At 36.0% G+C, this 23857-nt stretch overlaps 1 protein-coding gene and 1 long non-coding RNA gene across 5 annotated transcripts in view; one reads left to right on the top strand and one right to left on the bottom strand.

The window, feature by feature from the left end:
- USH2A (usherin) overlaps positions 1-23857 on the top strand; it is an 800558-nt gene that overhangs the window by 197138 nt on the left and 579563 nt on the right. For both annotated transcript variants that reach the window (NM_206933.4, NM_007123.6), the window contains exons 15-16: positions 8761-8924; positions 18880-19038. In NM_206933.4, the coding sequence (NP_996816.3) occupies positions 8761-8924; positions 18880-19038 (323 nt within the window). The remainder of the gene's footprint in view (positions 1-8760; positions 8925-18879; positions 19039-23857) is intronic.
- The window catches only part of USH2A-AS1 (USH2A antisense RNA 1), a 44314-nt gene that overhangs the window by 11725 nt on the left and 8732 nt on the right, over positions 1-23857 (bottom strand). For 2 of the 3 annotated variants that reach the window (XR_922595.4, XR_922598.1), the window contains exon 3: positions 21945-22281. This is a non-coding gene — a long non-coding RNA (USH2A antisense RNA 1). Of the gene's footprint in view, positions 1-816; positions 925-21944; positions 22282-23857 lie in introns of those variants that run through there. The other variant, XR_922596.4, reaches the window with a different exon arrangement.

Genomic DNA, 23857 nt, shown 5'->3' with positions numbered 1-23857 from the left:
ATTTTGCAATGTAAAGTAACTGTAGGACATTCTATTGCCTGAGAAAGACCAGAAAAGCCAAGTGACTAACTCATTTTATATCCACATGGAACATGGGGGAATTAGCTCCATATTATATGTTTAAAGGGTCAGTGAAAGACAAAAATAAAACTGATTTATGATTGCTTCTCATGACTTATGGTTTCTCAATGTGCTGGTCATTTCATTGTTCCCATTTATTTCTTAAAATTACCTCTTCCTTTGGTTTCCAAGATTCTACTTCTCTTATTTGTTTTCTAACTCTTTTTTTGGCTACTCCTTTTTAATATGTCCTTTCAATTTCCACAACTGTGTCCCTGATTTCAACCACTACATACATGTTAATGGCTTTCAAACACATGATCACCCATTCAGATGCCTGCCACGCACTCTAGGCCTGTAGCCAGCTGTCTCTCTGAGTTTTACGCTTGCAAGTCCCTCGTGCATTTCATTTTTAATATAGTCAGCACAGAACTAACCATTACTTCCTCATCTCCACCCAAATAAAAATAAGTCTTATGCCATCTCATGCTATCATCATCTTGGTGAAAAAGACGTAAAACTTCAAATAATTATTCAAGTCCAAACTTCCCAAGTTTGAGTGGGGCTTAGATTCTTCTCAGGTTTGGCAGAATTGGCTCTGTTGTTGAGTAGAATGAGTCTACAGGCTACTGCTGGAAAGTGCTATGGAAAGCAAGAGCTACTGTATATAATGCAGCTTCTCTAAAAAGAATAGAAAGAATAAAGCTTCCCATGGCCATATGGGACCCAAGGAGATCAGCAGGATTTGTCTCTTACTAAATCAGTCGTGTGGAATGCTGGTAACTTGACTTGACCCTCCTATCCCACTGATGAATTCAGCTGTCTCTTTTCACTTCAACATTGATAATCATTACACAGGAAATCCTGTAGCACAGAAGGGCATGGAGAAGGATATTTTAAAATGTGACAATGAGAATTGCTTGAGTTTGGACTTTTGTTCAACATTGAAAAGAGATAAAAGTGGGTTCTTTTTAATGTTTTTCCATTCCTCTTTTGAATGATACCGTTCTTGAATCTTTTTTTGACTTCTGGTTGTTATTGTATATACACCAACATTGGCTATATTGAAAATGTGTAACAATTGACTAAGATATATGGGATTCCATCAAGTATAAGAAATTTTTGTTTTTTAAAGGAAAAAATTCACATGTAATGTAAATATATACAGATATGCAGTATAGGAAAACAGCTATGTCCTAATGTTAAAACAATGTTTTTGAAAACAAAGTAGATTCAAAATCATTTGAATCTACTTTGAAATCTAGGCACTGTGGTAGGTTATTACAAATAGAAATGTTTACATTTATAAAAATTACATTCCAATTATAACAAATGGAAATTAAAACATTAATTTTCAAAATATACAGTAGATTATAAGTAACTTATTATTATGAAAGGGGAAGATACAAGTATCATATTATTTCTTCATCAACTTGGAAAATAACCTCACTTCCTTATCTGCCTGGTTCACATATTCCTTACCTTCTTCATGCTCTATTTGTTGGATATAGCAAGGTTTGCTATATTGTTTTCTCTTGGTTTATTTGCTACACAGTTTTTTGTATTCCCAAGGGCAAAATAAATAAAATAAAATAGACCTCGGCCCTAAACTACACAACCAACAACAAAAATCCAGGCAACACAACAATGACTTTTTGTGACCAAGCTGGAAAATCATTTGCCTGTTTCCATCTAAGTGGTTTATTCTTCAAAAGTTACTGACCAGAAAAAGGGGGCATGTATTTTAAAAAGCTGATCCTAGTGCAAACATTACTCCATTTACCTCTGACACATAAAGCAAACATGATTTAATCAGTATCGAAAACAATGAAGCAAAAAAAATCTGCCCACTGAAAAATCAATAATGCAAAAAAGTATATAGTGTTTGTCTAACCCAAAAACAATGAGACAAAAATGGGCCATATTTAATTCATCTCAGTTGGTAGTGGAGACCCATATTTGACACCCTGCACTTACTGGCACTGTCCTCAAGTTGACCTGTGACTATGACTACTCTCCCCCATAGCCCCCAGGACTGCTCCAGTTCATCTGGTACCCCACAGTTTTCTTACATAACAACCACACATCACAACCCCCAAAAGTTTCTTCCCTAATGATATACCCTCTCTATATTCTATGTTACCTTGTTTTAAGCCTTAAGGAGTTAGTGGTATCACTATTTGTCCCATTTACTAGCTGACACACACTGAAGTTGTCCATAGAGGGTAGGACACCAAGGCTGGTTAGGGAGAATAAAGGCTCAGACTTCTGGAGCATAAAATACAGGGAAGTTCTTCTATGCCCAGATTATTTTTGGTTTTACTGCAAATGTTCTACATTTCAGCACTAGGTTATAGATTTGGTCCAGTAATCTTTTCACAGGCCTTTATCCGATTGATCTCAATTGGTCTTTTCTCTGAGAACCAGGTCAATGACTTCAGATGAAAGCAGATAACTTCCTTGTCAACTGATTTCCTTTTATGGTGTGATAATGGAAAAATTAGGGAGTGTGCCTCATAGATTCCCTCTCCTCAGTGACTCTTTGTCAGACAGCTGGCTGTCATCTGGGGTGACAGGGTAAATGGGCCACAAGCCTGTCATCATCTGGCAGCCAAGGCAGGGCTTTCTCACAAGGCAGTGGCAGATTTCCAAGAAAGAAAGCAGAAGCATGCAAAGACACTTGAGGCCCGAACCGTCAGGATGTTACTTTTACCTTATTCTACTGGCCAAAGCAAGGCACGAGGCTTAACCATGTTTGGAAGTGGTGGGGAATAAACAGACTCTCCTTTTGATGAGTAGAACTAATTATACAGTTAGCTGCAAAGGACCTGCACAGAGGGAAAGGTGAAGAGTTGTGATTTTTGCAATCTCCTATGGCTGCCAAACTATATATTCTCTCTTAGTATAGATGATATATGATCTGATAAGAAGTATCAGTTTTTATATATTAGTAGCATTTATTCAACGTGATGTAATAGGAATAACATGCAACTGGACATCAGGATATCCAGGTTTCAGTTTTGTCTTTTCCACTAGACCAGATACAGTAGCTTCCTATTATTGGTGGAATAAATTATCTCAAACTCAGTGGCTTAAAACAACATGAATTTTTATTATCTTATAGTTCTGGAAATCAGAGGCTCTAAATGAGTTTCACTAGGCTAAAATCAGGCCTGTGTTTCTTATGGAGATTCTAGGAAAAAAAAAAACATTTCCTTGATTTTCCCAGCTTTTAGAGGCAACCTACAATCTTTTTTTTTTTTTTTTTTTCTGAGATGGAGTTTTGCTCTTGTTGCCCAGGCTGGAGTGCAATGGTGCAATCTCGGCTCACCACAACCTCCGCCTCCTGGGTTCAAATGATTCTCCTGCCTCAGCCTCCCGAGTAGCTGTGATTACAAGCATGCAGCACCACCCCCAGCTAATTTTGTATTTTTAATAGAGACAGGGTTTCTCCATGTTGGTCAGGCTGGTTTCAAACTCCCAACCTCAGGTGATCTGCCCGCCTTGGCCTCCCAAAGTGCTGGGATTACAGGCGTGAGCCACCGCACCCATCGTACATTCTTTAGCTCATGGCTCCTTCCTTCATTTTCAAAGCCAGCAGAGCAGTGTTTCCTTGGACCTCTGCTTATGTCCTTACATGTTTTCTCTCTGACTCTTACCCTCCTGCCTTCCTTTATAAGGACCGTAGATTACATTGGGCATTCTTGGATAATCCAGGATAATCTCCCCATCTCAAAATCCTTAACCACATCTGCAAAATTCCTTTTACCAAGTAAGGTAACATTCACAAGTTTGGAGGATTAGAACTTGGATATTGTTGGCGTGGGCATAATATGACCTGCTCTACCAGAGTTCAGCAATCTATAGCCTGGGGGTCAGCCACATGTTTATGTAAATAGAGTTTTATTAGAGCACACCAATGTTAATTCTTTACATATTTTCTGTGGTTGCTTTCCTGCTACAGCAGCAGAGTTGAGTTACAATAGAGCTCATATGGCCTGCAAAGCCTAAAATATTTACTATCTCATCCTTTATAGATAAAGATTGCTGACCTTGTAACTAGATTTACTGTCACCTTGGACAAATTAGTCTCACTAAGCATAATAGAATCATAACTTTATAGACTGGGAAAGAACCTTAAAAGTAATTTTGGTTAAACTCTACCCTATACATTTCTCTGCGTAAATCACCTTTTCAGAAAAACTGGTGAATGGCCATTCAGCTTCTGCTCCAAAACATGGAACTAAAAGGAGCTCACTGTCTCATGAAGTAGCTCATGTTTATTTCAAACAGCTGTAATTCTTCAACAAATAGAAATATATTATTTATATTGACCAAAAAGTTGCAGTCTTTTGACTTTCTTGCCTAGTCTTATTTATGCCTTCTGAGACCATAGAGAATAAGTGAAATCTCTCTTCTATCTGTGAGCACTTTAAAAATTTGATTCTGCTATCATATCTGAAAGTTATTTAGTTATTTGCATAAATATGTGGAGTGTCAACAAAGGAGAAAGAGACAGTGTTCTCAGATCAGAACCTTGCTGAGCAAGCTGCCTGGACTTAGCTGTCACTATTGCATGGATGCAAGGGAGTCACTGCCCCTGGTCCAGCTTTTATGAGTTTCTCTATTTGTGCCTGGGAAATTCACCAAAGAGGGTGGGGTTGCACACTGTTAACGTCTCCCTTTCAGATGAGGCACTCGTATTTCCTTGTTCAATAAGCCATGTAAATATGGCTTTCAGTTCACACAGCGTGGATGCCCAAGCCTCAAATCCCTCTCCTATAATTCTGATTCCATCTCCAAGAGAATTCAGATGCTGTTAGTAGTCTGTAACTAAAGCGAAACTAAGAAGCTCAATGAAACCACAGCTCCTCTGTTAATCGGGGAAAACCAAACTCCTCTAGAGGGCACTGTAGCACTCACCGAATTCTGTGAACTGAGAACACTGGTTTAAGAGAATCTGAACAGATACCAGCTCTTAAAGAAAACTGTCCATTCCCTGGGAGTGAGGTTAGCCAGGGGGACAGAGTTAAGCCAATAAAAAGGGGCTCAAAAGAGCTAACTTGTTACTAGAGCTACAAACCATGTTTGGATTAATCTCCGGTGTCCTATCCTAAGTCTAAAGCTTCCCTGGTGCTTTATTCACTATTAATTCCTGTATCCGACAATATTTACTGAATCCTTACTGTGTGCTAGCCTTTGTGTTAGGGACTGATGGAAAAAACTAAGACAAAAACAAACAAAAAAACTCTGCCGAATTTCTCCAATTTGCCTTGAAGTCTCATTCTCTTTTGTTTATTAATAATCCTTATCTAAAATCCCTTAGCAATTGGAGATCTCTTTCTCCTTCGTTCTTTATGTTGAATGATGTCTTCATCATCCCCATTAGCAAGTTAGAAGACCGGGAGTAACTTTATACCTATCCTCCCTTCTCTTTTCAATTCGGCCTCCCATTCTACCAATTTTACTTAACATTTCTCAGGTCTATCCTACTCATTTCCATTGCTCCTTGCCACTGCCCCAAGGTAGCATTATCTTACTTCTGCTCACCTTTCCAGGTTTATCTATCACCATTTCTCATTATGAATTTACATCCAGGAGTACTGAGGTGCTTGCAATTTCATACCCTCTTCTGCTTTTTCTTTTTTTTCTCTATTTTTGCCCCTCCCCGACTTCCCTGGCTTATTTCTACTCATCTTTTAACGTTCAGCCCAAGCATCTCCTCCAAGACTTCTACTTAAAATTACCCTTCCCATCCCTTCTTCTGCTACCAGACTAGTTAAGTTGCCCCTTTTCTGGACCTTTAGAGTCTGGATACATCTTTATTAATGCTGTTTCCGTTTTTTCTTGCATACGAGATTGTGAGCTCCTTGAGGACCGGGGCAATTCTATAAGATTCATCTCTACATCCTTGATGTTTATTCCAGTCCTGGAACATAGCTGGCCCTCAATGAATGTTATTTATGTCAATCAATATTTAAATCAATTTGATAGTACCCATGAGCTGAGGCCCCATAGAGAGGAGGGGTGTACAAAGAGAAATGTCAATAAATTGACCTATATATCTTGGGATATATCTCTGGGCCTCCTACAGCAGTTCTCCCTCAGATGATGAATTTTCTGACAATGATGTGCATTACTGAAACATATTCCTTTCATTAATAGTTAGGTTTCAACAGTAATAATTAGGATAACCATTTCTCTCACTGTTTCCACAACTGGAAGAAATTCCTAAGAAAGGAAGGTATATGAAATTTGTGATGTAGGAGACAGAGGCCAACTTCTTTCCCATTGTAACCAGCAAATACTGAGTTATGTAAGGGTCCAAAGAGAACTATCATAGCAAAGTGCTGGCAGAGATTAGTGATGCTTTACTCCTGTTTTGTTTACCATAATGAACTGGTCAATAAACATCACAAATTGTTTATCTATATAAATCTTGACAGATTACTCTTTATGAAATCCATTTAGCAAGCGAGGTTTTCCCATAAGGATGAAAAATGAAGATTTTAAACAGATTGCGGGAGAAGCTCTGGCTGTACCAAGAGAGTCAGTGTAATAAAGGTTTCTTTATATTAATATTACAAAAACCATTTATCCTGGCAAAATCAATATTGCAATTCATCTTAGTTTGGTGTTTCTCTTTCTAAGCTTAAAATGTCTTTTCCTTTATTATGTATAATTTTGTTTTAATAAATGTGAAATATATTTCATTTAGGAGGTACTCTTGAGGAGGGATAACTTATAAAATGACATCAAATTTGTAGCTTATTTGCTAAAGAGTCTTGGAAGTGTTTAAAATTATATTTGAGTGGCTGAGAAATCTAAAGGAATCATTTTGCTTAATCCTTAATTACAAAATTATCCCTGTGTCCTTTGGGGTAAAAACAAACTACAATTTTCAGAAAAGTCTTCGCTTGTGAACTTCATTTAGGAAAAATTCTCTCTTACTGAAGTCAAGTGATTATAACAAGTCAGATAAGTTGACTATAACAATGGCTTGGATAAGAGACTATAAAATCAAGAATAGACACATTTAATTGCTCAAAACATTGCGTGCTTTGGCTGGAAGAAAATAGAACTACATCAAGGAACGGAATTATGTTATACATTGGAAGCTATTACTCTAAATGTACTGTATGTAAAATAAGTGTGATTGTCTCATGAGTGAATGGTAATAAAAACTGAAATACTCAAGAGACACTTATTCATGAGTGGTGCAGTTACACATACATATATACACACACACACACACACACATACATTGAGAGAAGCTTTTCTCTTATTGTTTATGCTCACTAATATTATATTAAAAGCCTATAAACAATAGACTCTACATAATAGCCTATAAAGAAATTAAGAGCAAATCAAGTATTTTTGCATCTATAATTCCATTTTAATTATAATACATAATTTTCTTCAGCTCTAAAACTTAACCTAAACAAAACATCTATTTGAAATGGAATTCTGATGTAATGTGTATAGATAAAAGACCTAATATAGTTGTTTGAAGGGGGAAAATGTCCTTTTATCATGACCATAAAAACGGCAAACTACAGTACAGTGGTTTTCAAGAAAAACTGTACTTTATTTATTCCCAAGGGGATATTAGTCCATAAAACAAATTTGCAGCTTATTTGGCAGTCTTAGCTTTTATCAGCCTTTTTAAGGGTGTTGAATGATTACCCAAGAGATCACACTGTAAAAATGGCAGTGGGGAAAAGTAACTCCATCCGTTCAGCATCTTTATTAGAATATATAGGTGAATCCATTTGATGTTGTTTTAAACGTACCACAAGGAGAGTACCTTTTAAATGGTGAGTGGTCTTCTTACATGTGCTGTTTTGCTTCTCTAATACCTCATGGCACCAACGTTGCTTATCCTAATTAGTGCCATTGGCATAGGCTACATGTTTGAATAATTCACTGTGAAGAAACAAGTTTTAGTTTCTATCATGGCAAAATGCCACTACTGGTATTTTTACAAGCAACTTTGGGTCCAAGAAATTTAAGTTGCACTAAAGTTATCTTACTATATTTATGTCATTAGCATCTTTTCATAAATCAGAATAATGCTGTATTCTCCAACCATTATGGATAACTAAGTTTAGTTCATAAAACAGAAAATGAAATATAACCCATATTAAGGCATCAAAAATATTTGAACCTGTCTTTCTCAAGCAATTTTCTTAGTGAAATTTAGTCTTCATCGAACTAACTATAGAATTTTAAGATTTTTAGGGAGAGCAATGATTTACCCCTGATTTTCTATTTCGCAATTGGAGAGTCACTTGAAAAGATAATTTTATGGGTACCTAATCTAAATGTTTAGCTGACAGGAACACTGCTTTTGTAAAAGCAAAATTTACAGCATTCTTAATTGAACAACTGGATTCAAACTAATCCATAAGATATATTGTGGGATGTAAAAAAGCAATATAATATCTTTTTTTGCTATTAATTAGTTTATAAAGAGAAAGCTTTATACGGGTTTTACCAGGAACAGTAGTTTTATAAAGATCTTTTCTATTTTCCTTTATTTTATGTTGATTCTTTGTTTGTTTAGCTCAAGCATTCTTTTCAATATATTGGCTAAAACAAGCCGTCTTACTCTACAATGCTATTGGTAGGTGTAACTTATACTATGAATTATTAATCAAAACACTATTCTCTTTGATGGTTTATTTGCCTTGTTTTCAGATGTCAGCCTTGTAATTGTCATCTCTCAGGAGCCTTGAATGAAACCTGTCACTTGGTCACAGGCCAGTGTTTCTGTAAACAATTTGTCACTGGCTCAAAGTGTGATGCTTGTGTTCCCAGTGCAAGCCACTTGGATGTCAACAATCTATTGGGTTGCAGCAAAAGTAAGTGAACTCTGGTTCAGTGCTGGTGTGTGAAGCAGCATCATACAGGGGACTGCATCTCATTGTTTTCTTTCTCCATTTAGAACCCATCAGAAAGGCTTAGTACAATGTGAAGAACGTAGGTAAGAGATGGAAAAAAATACACTGAATGAAATATGTCTGCTTTTCCTTGATTAGACAATTGGAAATGGTAATATAATTATGTTCATGGTGGGAAATTTACAATAGTTTTTTGGAGTGAAATCAACAATGAGGTGATTAAAGTCCTAGGTTTTCCCAGACCAAGGGTCTTCCCAGGACACAAGACTTTTAATGGTAAAATCAGGACTATATTGGTTAAACCAAAACAGTTGGTCACCGACACAAAGACATTTCCAGGTAAGTTATTTTTTTTTGACAAATAAAGGGTGAATTCTTGTTTATTATATGTTTGATATTCTTCCATCCCCCAAATTTTGTGGGCAGTATTATACCATTAGTTGTTTATCGATATTGTAATAATTAGTATCATTCGTCACGCATATTATTCATCCCATAATTCATGTTTCTTTCTACTTTAAGTTTCACTCATTTAAATATCTCTCACATTTATATTTTTAATTCCTTAAAGCCTAAGATTACATGTAAGTATCTTTTGACTTTTCAACATCGCTTTTCAGTACCTTGAATTGACCTCACAAGGTCACCTGCAGTTCTACAATTTCATAACATATTGACCGTTTTCCTATATTTACTTCAAGATCATACATCCTTACCCTTTCCAGAATCCCTAAGAAATGCCTGCTGGGAACATGTGGTAGGAGCCCTCTACAACATATTGTGCTATGCATATTCTCCTTGGGGTGTCCTGAGACTGTCATGAGTCACAATGATAGGAAACGCCACAAGTCATGACAGATCATCACAAACCAGCATGCCTGGAACTCTGCTATCTACATTTAAGGGGGGAGGGAGAAAGATAAGTAATGGGATATTGGACTCCACAACAACTGTACTAGATTTTGAGGTAATGGAAAGCAGGATATAGCTAGTGATTAAGAAGACGTATTCATATTTTGTACCTGTGTAGTTTCTCTTCAGCATCCCGCATTTCATCAGTCCCTCTGGATTTCAGTATAAGTAAAACTGTAGGTATTTATGCTTCTTTTGGGAAAGAACTGTCATAATTCCTTTCATGTATAAATACAGTCTAAACATAAATCTGGACTTCATTGGCCACTTAATTACTATGTGTCATTTATTGATTAGCAATACAATTGATTGCTTTGTATGCAACAAAAATTCTAGCATATTCCTTTTGGATATGAGTTATGGATCGTCATTTATAATGGAATTACAATACCTAATCTTAGTGATTTCTGATTGGTTCTGCCACTAATTTTGTGACAATATTGGCACCTGCTCTACTTTTTGCTACCTATTCCTTCTTGCATTTGAGACATAGTCTGGGAATTATCTCTCAGGCAAAACTGGATAGTCATGTCACTGGAAAGCTAGCCTACAACTCTTAGTAGTGGTAGACATTTAATTTTATGTTTTATTAACTGGACATTCTTTCCAAGTGTTTCTGATTTGTTAGAATTTTTAAAAACTCTCACATTCCTAATGATTCTTCCCTGGACATATTCCTTTTGGTTTTTTATCTCTTTAAAATTATGATATATCATACTGAGCACAGTTCTTCAACTCTTGTGGTTGTTGCTGCTTCTGTTTTAGGTTTTTATTTAACAAAATTTTTGAAACACTGTGTAAAGTTGGAAGCTCAGCATCAGCAGAGGCAATTTATTAGAAACAAATGAGACAACTTTCCTGCCTTCAGAGGAGGTCAAAACATAGCTAGAGTGATGGACACTGATAATAGGAGGGGAGCAGAAAAATGTAAATGGTGGGATGAGGATGAAGGGTCCCAGCCTTCTCTCCTGTTCCAGCTTGATTTTCACATGGTACTTGTGTTTGATCCTAGCAGAAGCCAGCCAGAACAATTGGCTTCACAAAGATATGATGAAATTGAAAGGAATGTAGTGCTATCTATTGCTGACACAGTGAACTACCTCTGACTAGTATTTGTCTCTGTATCCAACAGATGTCAAGAAATATTTTCATTTAAAATTAAAATTTCTCATGGTACCCCACCCCCTACACAGTTTGGGAACTGCAGGATTATAACCCTCATTATATCTTCTAGGGGCCACTAGCAATAATTTAGTAATATCATCTGTGATTTTTATTTTTGGTGGGCTGTCAGGGTGGGAATCCTAGGATGTAATTTCCAAAATGCAAGAGGATTGAATGAAAATAAAGTAGTTAGACCTTTTCTTATAGTAAATTTCCCTTTTGGGTGATTCACTTCTTTCCTTTAAATATTGGTATCATGCTTTCAAAATGATAGTCATTCTTCTTGATAGGAAGCAAAACAAGAATTAACATAAATTAAATAGTCCTATTTTCTGTATGCTTTCCTAGCGAATGATATTCTAGTTAGTTCAACCATCTATGAACCTAACTAAAATTATACACATACACACACACACGTATACAATTAGCCACTTATTGTTTGATAGTGTTTGTCTTCTTGACACTATTCTCATTGTTATTTATTCATCTTTATATCCACATTTTTTCTTTATCTCTCCTTGCCAGAGAGCCTCTTCTAGCTCTCCTTTTATTAACAGCTTTATTAAAGTATAATTTACATATTATATATTTAACAATTTTAAGTATATGGTTTGATGGATTTTAGTAAATTTAGACTTGTGCAATCATTACTATAATCCAATTGTAGAACACTTCTGTCATTTCAAAAAGTTCCTTTGTGCCCATTTCCAGTCAATCATGACTCCCACCTCTAGCCCCAAACAACTAGTTATAGGGTCTTTGATGAGATAATTTTGCCTTTCCCATGAGTTTTATATAAATGAAATTATACAACATTTAGACTTTTTGCAATGTATAGGCTTTTGTATCTAGCTTCATCTTAACAAAATGTTTTTGAGGTTCAGTCATATTGTTGCATGTCTCAGTAGATTCTTTTAATTGCTGAGTAGTATTTTATGGATACACTATATTTTGTTTATCCATTGATCAGTTGACATTTAGATTGTTTTCAGCATTGGTCTACTATGAATAATGCATCCATGAACATACAGTTACAAGTCTCTGTGTGGACATGCATCTTTATATCTCTTTATATCCTGAGAATAAAAAGGCTGGTTTGTATACCAAATATATTTTTAATGTTTTAGGAAACTGCCAAATTATTTTCCAACATGGCTGTATTATTTTACATTTACATTAGCAACTTATAAGAGATCCAGTTACTCTATGGTCTCAGCAACATTTGGCATTGACTCTATTTCATTATAGCCATTCAGTGAGTGTGTAGTAGTATCTTGTTGTGATTTTAGTTTGCATTTTTCCTGCTGACTAATGTTGAACAACTTTTCATGTGTATTGTCATTCATGTGATTTTTGGCAAAGTATCTTTGAAATATTTTGCCCGTGTTTTAGTTGTTAGTCCTCTTACTGAGTTAAAGAATTCCTTATTAATTTGGGATAAAACTTGCAAATAGTCCTCTCATTCTGTGGATTTGTTTTTCATTTTTTTTATTGGTATACTTTAAAAAGCAAAAGCTTTTACTTTTCATGAAGTCAATTTACCAAGCTTTTCCTTTATGGGTCATGTTTTTGTGTCCTATCTAAGAAATTTTGGATTGACTCAATGTGAAAAAAAAAAATTCTCCATTTTTATCTTACAGTTTTATACTTAAACATTTACATTTAGATCCATGAAATAATTTGAATTAGTTTTGTACATGGTATGAGTTAAGCATCTAAGTTCTTTATTTCATTTTTATTTTTTGACACATAGGTATCCAAATGTTCCATTAACATTTGTTGAAATTGCCATCCTTTCCCCATTGAATTACCCAAGCATCTATGCAAAAATGCAGTTGACCCCATAGCTAACATCATATTCAATAATGAAAGACTGAGATCTAAGATCAGACATAATACAGAAATGCCCACATATTAGCCAGAGCAGGTAATCAAGAAAAAGTAAGTAAAAGTCTCCCAAATTAGAAAGTTGATTTTCTTTACTTGTAGATGATATGATTCTATATGTGGAAAATCCAAACAAATTCACAAGAAAGCTACTAGAGCTAGTAAACAAATTCAGCAATGTTCTATGTTACAAGATCAACACACAAAATTAGTTGTGTTTCTATAAGCCAGCAATGAATAATTTGAAAAAGAAATTAATAAAGCAATTTCACTTATAATGCATCAAAAATTTAACCAAGGAGATGAAGACTTGTACATTATCTGTTTTCTGTGTTTCCAGGAAACCTATAGTATAATTGCGCAATGTTATTTCTATGCACTGTTCCTTTTATGCTTAGCCATGTGCTCTCCAGTGTCTCATGAGTTTCATGCAGGATCTGTGTGTGATCACTTTTCTATTAGGATGCTAAGATAGAAGTAATTTTCCCATTAGTATATATTATCTGTGGTAATAAATATATTACTTATTGCCAAATAAGCCATTTATAATTCTTGGGATGTAAGAATCAAGGATGCCTTCCAGCACACTGGAGGGTAGAGGAAATAAAGGTGATATTTATTGAACAATTACTTTATACACATATACACACACACACACCCCTACATACATATGTGCATGCACACACACACACACACACACAAACACACACACACCTTATCTTCAAAATAACCCTGACGGGGAGACATTATCATTCTCTTAATATAAATGAGAAAAGGTTCAGAGAGTCCAATCAATATTTGACTATAATCATACAACTACCAAAGTTCCAAAGCTGGAGATTCAAGCTGGTGGTTCCCAAAGAGATGGATCTAGTCACAATATTATACTCTCATCCCATAAAAGAGAGTCTGGCATATGCAAAGACCATTCTTGGCAATTTTGATGAGTGAATATGTGAACATTTTTTAGGAATTCTACTTCAAGCACATAAAGGTTCAAGTTCTCTCATGCTCAAGATTTAATAATATTATTCTCAAAAGTGTTGGTAAGTCATCTAAACCTTCTGGCTTATGAAAATTTCAACTTAAATACCAAAGAGGTACTATTTATTTATGCTGTGGAGTCAGACAAGATTGTGGTTGACATGGTCATAGCAAGTAATCAGCTTAAATGTTTGGAAAGAGCCTCTGTGTGTGAAGAACTTTTGTTGCCAAGGATATTTTCATGTAATGCAAATCATTTTCTACACCCTTTGACATGGGAGTGAAACATCTATCTCTCTTTCATTTTCATTCATCCCCAAAGCATTTTGCTGCCTTAGAAAATCATCTGAAGGTCAGTTTTGATTGCTCTAACTCTGAAATCTGTTGTGTTCCTGATAGCATGCAGAGTTTTAGATGAAATCACTAATATTCACTAAAAAATGTTAAATTACCATGAATTGCAAGGTTCTTTGAGAGTGCTGTAAATGAGGCAGTTGATGATATTTGTGGCTCCACCAAGAACAACAGGATTTAAAACCCTAAATTAAAATCCACTGAAAGGGTCAAATGCATTTTCAGTGTTCAACCGATCAAAGTGACCATATCAAATATGGAAAATTCATGAATTCAAAAATGTAAGGTGTTATTCGGAAATAATTCTTTTCTCATGTGTCATTATGAGATTGTTGCTACTCTTTTCCTATGTCTAAATAGGCATATAGACTGTTGGAATGTTAATAGAACAATGCAAATTCCAAAGAAGAAAAAGACAAAAGGAGGGCAATGAGCATGTATCTAGTTTGAATATTTTAAAACATATGATGTAAATATTATCTGCCTTAGGATCAGACTTTGTCTTTAGGAAGCCTATTCATAGTACATGGAATTTTATATATTTTACATTCAGTGCTGTGCAGAATAAAACAACATTTTCCCCCTCTGTTCTCACACCACCATCAACATAGTTGAACAAGCAATTCTGCAGCATTAATATCCTACAATCCAGTTCAACTCTTGCGCTATATACCTGGAAGTAGTGGCAGATTCCACGGGTGAGGGGTCAGTCCCCAAGGCTGCCCCCAACTTCTAACACCAATCACAAGCTCCAGGTTATTTTGCCTGTGCTTGTAACCCACTGGCTATAAATTGGGGCTCCTATGACTCCCTCCTTGGGTTCAATTACTTTGGCAGCTCAGCTCAAAATAAGGAAGCACTTATTTTTACTGATTTATGATACAGGATATTGCAAAGATACAGATGAAGCAATGCATAGGACAAGATACGTGGAAAGGGGAGCTGAGCTTCCATGTCCTCCCTAGGTGTCACACCCTCCAGGAACTTCCACGTGTTAAACTACATGGAGCTCTCCCTGTACCCCCACCACCCCCCACCACCCCAAACACCCTTTTTGTTGTTGTTGTTTTAGACAGAGTCTCGCTCTGTCGCCAGGCTGGAATGCAGTGGCGATCTTGGCTCACTGCAACTTCCGACTCCCGGGTTCAAACGATTCTTCCGCCTGAGCCTGCCGAGTAGCTGGGATTACAGGTGTGTGCCACCATGCCCAGCTAATTTTTGTATTTTTAGTAGAGACGGGGTTTCACCATGTTGGCCAGGATGGTCTTGATCTCCTGACCTCGTGATCCGCCCGCCTCGACCCTTTATAGCAACTTCATTGGATAGGCATGACTGAAGCATGGATGTGGCAGACTACCACAATTACTACTTGAGACCATCACTACAACAGTTACTACTGTTACTATTTGAGACTGTCATTACAAGACTGAATGAAGGAGGATGAACGCAGAAATGAAAACTTAAAACAAAAATAACTATTTTACAGGAAGGGTAACATGGGGAAGAAGAAGAGGGGTCCCTGCTTCTTGTGAGCAAGGGCAGCTGCCTGAGCTGCTTCAGCCCTTCATATTTATTGGGTAGAAAGAGCAGGGAGGAGGAGGGCATGATTGGTCAGCTGCTTGATTGATCACAGGGTCATATTATTACTAACAGGCTTCAGATTTGCCTAATAACAAGAAACACTTGTGCCTGGGTCATGACTGCCCTCAGCATTCCTTCCGGGTGCAGACGCAGTTTGTCAGCTTGCCAACATCCTGCTTTCATGAGAACAGTTTGCTGTTTACTCATATAGCCTCCAGTGGTATACTTAGTTGATCACGACCCTCATTCTTTTGGCCTTCAACACATGGACAACTATGTAGAAATGTGATTTAAAAAAAAAAAGGAGTATGATTTCATACTAATCGACTGAGTGGGGAAACCCTGCAAGGCTGCCTATTCAGAGTCTTCTTGGCCTCTCTCTGCAGTATTCATTCCTCCAGGGCATGGGGCAGGACTCCTTCTAAAATGAGGGTCTCATGACCCACAGTCAGACAAGGTAGGTCAGAGAATTTCCTTATGGCCGGCTCTAAGACAGAAAGGTGGAGGAACATTAGAGTATATTTTTAGTTTCCCTGGCCTGCCTTGGGGAGAAAAAGGAACAGGTAGAAGCAGAACAGAACAGAGACAGACCCTATTTTCTGAGGCCTACTTCTGAAGCCTAAATCTCCCCAATATTGTAACAAAAGACTGTCCTTCACCTGTATCACTCTTAAATTGTTCTGAAGCTGCTTCAGGACCCTTGGATAAAAGACCAATACTTCAACAAAAGATAGGCTTATTGTGTTAGTCACCAAGGAAATAGCAAAGGCTATGGAAGTTATGAGCCAGGAACCATGGACAAAAACGTGTGTGTGTGTGTATGGTGTATAAATATCAAAGTGCTCTTGAAATCCTGTCTTAAAATGTAATAATTTGATTATATTATATCTTTTAGACAGAGTTCATATATTATATCTATTAAAAAGAGTTCATCACTCATGGGTCCTGGTGAATTAGCAATAGCTCTGGGGTGGAAGTCTTTGCTTAGTTTGCAGAATAACTTCACTTTACTGTTCCCTACTTTTCCACTTTGCTCTGTCCTCCAAGATTCTATGTGGTTTGCATCAGCAGCCTCCATTGCCCTCTGGCCATCAGTTAGTTGATTTCAGCTGCTAAGAGGGACCCACCAAACATCTGGAGGGCAGGTGGAAAAGGAAGTCAGGATATTTAATTCCCCGCTCCCTGTGTCCATGTAGAAGCAGCCTCAAGCTAACTGCATCCCTCCATGAGTGGTCATAGCTCCTGTCAGGTGATGCTCTTCATACAGTCATTTCTGTCCCTGAGTTCTGTCCCCATTTAAGCTAGAGATAGTGTGCAGAGAAGAGTTAACATAGCAAGCCTGACTGCTTATTTTTAGAAAGACCTGCTTACAAAGTTGGCCTTTGGCTGACATCTGGATCCCCACTATCCCCAGAACTGATAAGAGAGGACCACTGCACTTAAACATTTGTACAAAGTACGGTTTATGCTTAACACCTGCTTTCCTTGTGGGGGTCTTAAATTTGGGTAAATGCCAGATAGAGGCTGCTCATAGGAACAGCCCCCAATAAAAACCCTGTGCACTGAGTTTCTAAGGAGCTTCCCTGATTGGCAACACATCACACATATTTTCATAATGCATTGCTGGGGGAATTAGGCCCATTCTATCTCTACTGGAAGAGAATTCTTGGAAGCTTGTGCTTGGTTTCCCCTGGACTTCATTGATATGCCTTTTCCCTTTGTTGATGAATTCTGTAACATTTCACTGTAATAAATTTTAGCCATGAGTAGGACTATATGATGAGTCCTGAGTCTTCCTAGTGAATCATTAGACCCAGGGTTCAGGGTTGGCTTGAGAAACCCTGACATAAATAGCAAAAGAGCTCTGCAGTTCTGTACCTGAGAGTACTGGACCATCTCTTTTGCCCACCCTTTTGAAAGTGGTTCCTTTATTGAGCTCTCCCCAAGTTACTTTTTTTGAGTGTGCTTTCTTTTACTGAGGCTTCTAGTGACTGTAGATATTTCATATAAAAATATTAATTATTTGATGGATTCTTTTCTGTACCTTACATTTACATATTTCTTAACAAAAAGATGAATGGTTTAAAAGTAAGGTAACACAGCAACCTGTACCCTTGACATCTTATTTAAGGAGAATGTTTGATTAGGTTGTGCTTCTTTAAATGGATGGGGGATTGTGCATCTTGTTTAAACTAGAAAATAGTACGTAAACTGGTGGTTGATTGTCCCTAAAAATATTTAGCTGTTGTTTTTCTCCTTTATCTTTGCGTATTCTGGTGAAAAAAAAGAAAATTCACTCTCAAAAGCAGGGAGACTAAGAAAAATTTACAGTGACAGAACACAATGTTTTCATGGTATATATTTATATTATAGAAAACATCACTTAAGTAGTGAGATGAATGTTCTTATTTCTTATGTGCCTGATAAGCAATTGTATTACATCTTAAAAACACCTCTAACAGGTGATGGTACATTCATATAGTATATTCAAATCGTTTCTTGATAATATTTAGATTATTTAACATCCATAGCTATTTATATCACCAAATATTATTCTTTCTTTTACACTGTGCTCTCTGAAGCAAGATAAAGCATTGTGCTTAATGGAATGGAAAGCTTCCTCTCAAAAACCCAAAGATTATGCTACTTAAATTTCAAGTTTCAATGGAACTTATGTCAACTTTTAAATTAACTATGTAAAAAATAAATGTTGTGCATCCTTGGATGGTTTCTCAAAAAAAAAAAAAAAAAAGGCAAAGAAAGAAATGCTTAATGTAAACTATGGTGGTTTTTTACCCCCAACTATATTTATGCCAGCTGCTTTGACCTAAAAAGTTTTTTTATGCTTATAGATAAAAAGCTTTGTTTTAGAGAACTCATGAACCCTTTGTTTATTAATGTCTTGGTAAACCACATGTCTTCTTGATAAAGCAATCCTGAATCAGAAAGACCTCTTTGCTGGATATCTTACTTCAGTTTGCTTTTCTGTTTATTGATTGCTTTGCTAATAAATGCTCTCTTCATTGTAATTTAGCTCCATTCCAGCAACCTCCGCCCAGAGGACAAGTTCAAAGTTCTTCTGCTATCAATCTCTCCTGGAGTCCACCTGATTCTCCAAATGCCCACTGGCTTACTTACAGTTTACTCAGGGATGGTTTTGAAATCTACACAACAGAGGATCAATACCCATACAGTGAGTTTAAGGGTTTGGTAATAGAAATAAATATTCTGAGAATTGACACATTAGTTAAGTTCTTTGACATTGAGGATAAATGCTGTTGTGGTTTCCTCTGTCTGGCACAGAGTGTTTCAAACAGAGATAAAATTACAAATTTCACTAGTAATCAAAGAAATACAATAAAAATGAGATGCTTATTATCTGATAAATACTAATGCTTATCACATTCTCAAAGATGAAAAAAAAATGACCCCATCAAGAATTGATGGGAATGTGGGGAAGCTGGAACTTTTATAAACTGCTGAGGTGTCTGTGTGAGTTCATTAGTACAACTTTTCATGTACAATAATTTGTTAAAATCTATGAAAAAATCTTTCCTTTTAACATAACATTTGACTTAGCAAACTTATTTTAGGAAGTTTATCTCAAGTGAACAGTCATTAAGTAGACACACAAGATGTCCATACCTATTCTATTTGTAACATCAAAATATTGAAAATGATTCAGATGTTCAACAATGTTTCAGGAAATTATAGTATATGGCATAACAGAATCCTGGTACATTGTTAAATAAATTATAGGCTATGATAGCATATAAACTGATACCTTAGTTCACATATCAATAAATGGAAAATGTTCATGACATATTGTTTAAGGCAGGGGTCCCCAATCCCCAGGCTGTGGACAGGTACTGGTCTGTGACCTGTTAGGAACAGGACCACACAGCAGGAGGTGAGCAGCAGGCCGGCGACATTACTGCCTGAGCCCTGCCTCCTGTCAGTTCTGTGGCGGCATGAGATTCTCATAGGAACAGGAATCCTATTGCGAACTGTGCATGCGAGGGATCTAGGTTGCACGCTCCTTATGATAATCTAATAATAAATATAATGCGCTTGAATCATGCCAAAACCATCCCTCCTCACCTTCCCATCCTGGGTCCATGGAAAAACTGTTTTCCATGAAACCAGTCCCTGGGGCCAAAAAAGTTGGGGACCACTGGTTTAAAGTAAATAAAGTTATTAAAATAATCTGAGAATTATACCATTTTAATTTACAAATACTGGAAGACATAATAAATAGATCTAGTTTTCTCTAATTGTAAATATTATAGAAAATGTATCAAATATTTCTATTATAATGAATTCAAGTTTTTTAATTCTCAGGTTAAAGAACTATTAAATCTGGCAGTGGAGTACTAACACTCAAGCAAATAGTGTAATTTAATACACACATTGCTGTTTCCGCAGAGATAGAACACAGCAACATAAACTTTTGAAAGAGAAAGGATATAAACAAGCCATCAAGCCTATCTTTGCCTTTGTAACTTTTATGAAGATTTTAAAGGAGCTTATAGAAATCAAATTATTAGAATTCATTGACTTTAAAAAACATTTACTCAGATGTTTTAGATACAGTTTCCCTAAAGACAGAATGAAAAAAATAGGAATTTTTACATTATTCCAGCTCTATCTTCTCTGATTTTTGCTTCTAGCCATGTTTAGCTACACACTAGTTTAAGAAACCTCGGAACAGCAATTCCAATTCAAGTTTCTATTTTGTTCTCTTCATTTAATACACAGTTTTCCAAATTCTACTTTAACCATGCTTAATTAGTTGGAGAACTGTTTAAAGCTCTGTCGAAACACTGAAATTCCATAACCTTCCTTAAAATGGTTAGGAGGATGCCTTGTTTTAACATTTTAATTGACTTTAAAACTCCTGCATCGCATAGAGTTTTATTTTGTATGCATTATACTGGGTTTCATTTTGCACCTAATTCATATAACTGGAATTTAGTTTCTTATGTCCACCCCTTTCTCTTGGCTCTACATGTCTCTTCAGTATTCCAAGTCTTCTTTAAAGTTAATGGAAACTCTGAACTTCATGATGCAGATTGCAAAGGGAAATGAACATCTGTCTACATCTGCCATGTTGGCAAAGTATCCTGAAAACCTGCTACTAGAATGTTTATTTTCTTCCAAATATCAGCATGATCCAGGTGTCCTGAAACTTAAACTTTTGTGACAGAGAAAGAGAGGAGTTATAAAAATATTGAAAATGATTTTGAAGATGACAGTACCACTGATTATTTCTGAAGTTGTGAATTAGGGTCACCCTACTTTCCATACAGCTTAATGCAATAGCAAAATTAAACTTAAAACTATCAATGATATTATTCAAGCCAGAGGCATGATTTCCATAGTAACATATTGTGATCTATTTTATAGAACATCACATGTTAGTACAACATTGGCTGTTTTTGACGATTGCACTAATAAGGAATCCAAATAACATTTTCTTACATAATAAATGTGTATTCATTCACTAATCAGACATTTATATAATCCTATTAAACAAGGTATCATTTCCTAAAACCATATTTTTCATTAAAAAATGCCACTTCTGGCATTTCTTGACAATCACTGTAATTAATGATGTGAAAATTATCTGCATGATGGCATTTGAACAGTAAGAACAATTGGTTAACACTGTCAGAACTTTGTATCATTCTAACAATAGCCTCATGTTTATTACTCTATTTCTAGTGCGTGGCTAGCATGTGTAACATGTAAAGGAAACACTACTTATATTCAGCTGGATGAACACAAATCTTTGGGTTAAATAAAGGCATTAGGAATTATAGGTGGAGAATCATTGAACTTTTCAAAGAAAATTAATAGTGTTGTCTTCCAAGCAAGTTTGATAGTTTGTTTGAGACCTTTATAGAATTCTTTTTTAGAATGGAAACTTTTTCTAGCTGGCCTAATGTACTATGGGATTCTCTAAGACATATTTTCCTTCTTAGGATCATGATATACTGGTGTACCATCTTTAAAGCTTTCAAATTATTTGTTATTATAATAGCATGCAAATAATGAATAATTTTAAAGATTGTGAATAATTAACTTTAAAAAACAAGGTATATCTTTACGTTTTATTTAAGGTAGAGGTCAAGCTAGCGCTTCGAGAATCATACATAATCAGCCCTAACAGTATCTCTATTGTAGCCCCCTTCTGGGTTGCTCATAGGTATCTTACGTGTCATAGGAAGGAAGTGAACAGTTATTGGAGGAAATAGCACTCTTCTGTTAGTGTTGCAGGTTTAGGGAGTGGACAGTAACTCATACTGTTTTTTGGTGTTGTTCCTATTTGAGTTTGGAATCAAAGGAGCACTAGACATAGTAGGCAGATCAAATTTAAAAATAAAAACGATCTTCATTACTGATGAAAGTCAGATTAGAGACTATATCCTTTTTCCTGCAGGAAGACAAATTAGAAGAGAGAAAAATCAATGGGCTGATCTGCACATAATTTGCTCCCTACACCCTGACTCCCCAGATTCACAGTCAGATGAGTTGTTCCTCATTTGGGATGGCATGAATGGGGAGATAGCCCTTAAATGTCACTTTAGAGAAATCCTTCCACAGGAACTAGAGGATGATTATTTTTACATGTAACAATGACTTCTATCACCTACAGATATTATCGTAGTTTAAGCTTAGAATTTTAGACAACCAAATATTTTAATGAGCCCTGGGATTTCATTTCTACCCTTATTCATTTCCATCTTTAAAATTATAATTTATAATCTCATACTACATCAAGGGATCAATGTAACAAGTGGTAAGATGATTCAGTTAGCTCTGAGAGGAATAAATGAAGAAATATAAGATATAGAGACAGGATGAGAAAACAGAAGAGAAGATGACAGGCAACTGTTTTTATAAGGCTCTTAATATTCTTAATGCGGTAGTTTCCCCTTATCCATGGTTTTGTTTTCTGCAGTTTGTTACTCATGGTCAACAATGTTCCAAAAATAGGTGAGTCTACAGTACAATAAGATGTTTTGAGAGAGAGAGAAAGACCATATTCACATAACTATTATTGGGGTATATTGTTATAATTGTTCTATTTTATTTTCAGTTATTGTTGTTAATCTCTTACTCTGCCTAACATAAATTAAACTTTATCATAGATATGTATGTATAGGAAAAAGAACAGTATATATACACACATATATATGTATGTATATATATGTGTATATGTGTATATATATACATATATGTATGTGTGTGTATATATATATAGTTTAATACTATTTGTTGTTTTAGGAATCCACTGGAGATCTTGGAATGTATCTCCTGTGGATAAGAGGGGACTACTATATTCTTTCCTGGAACAATAGATCAAATATGTATAGAAAAATCATTCATGTGTTTAATAAAATTTTGTTCAGTGCTTATTCCAGACCAGAAACTGTATCAGTCATTAGAAATACAAAGATGAAAGGAATAGTTCTCCTTACTGAGTGGGGAGACATATAAGTAAACCAAAGTAACAATAGAATATATAAATGTTGAAGCAGAGTAAACTTGGGGTGTTAAGGAAGCACACGGTGGCTTGGGAGGTGTAGGAAATGTAACCATGCCTGTGGTGGCAATGATGTGATGGAGAACCACTGAAAGTTTCCCAGTAAAGAAAGAATATAAGCTGAATTAGCCAGATACTGTAGTTGAGGAAGCGTGATGGTCATGAAATAAATTTTGTATTAAAAGAAAATAAGGTATATTCAGCAATCATGGGCAGTTCCATGTAGCTTTGGTAAGTGGTACAATGGGGGAGTGCTACAAACCAGGAGGGTATCAGCCAAGATCACAAATCAGTGCTGAGCCAAGGACTGTAAATGTTTCTCTGAAAATGCAGAAGTCTGTAGTAACAGCAAATTTTCAAATTCAGTGTTAAAGATCCGTACCCCAACCAAGGAGAGCAACTACCTTGAGATAAGCACTCTTTTAACCTGAGTATTATTTTTTTGTTATGGATCATTAATGGA

This window comes from Homo sapiens, chromosome 1, assembly GCF_000001405.40.
Source record: "Homo sapiens chromosome 1, GRCh38.p14 Primary Assembly".
Lineage (NCBI taxonomy): Eukaryota > Metazoa > Chordata > Mammalia > Primates > Hominidae > Homo > Homo sapiens.
The sequence above is the reverse complement of the archived record's forward strand: the minus strand, read 5'-3'. Positions and strand labels throughout refer to the sequence as shown.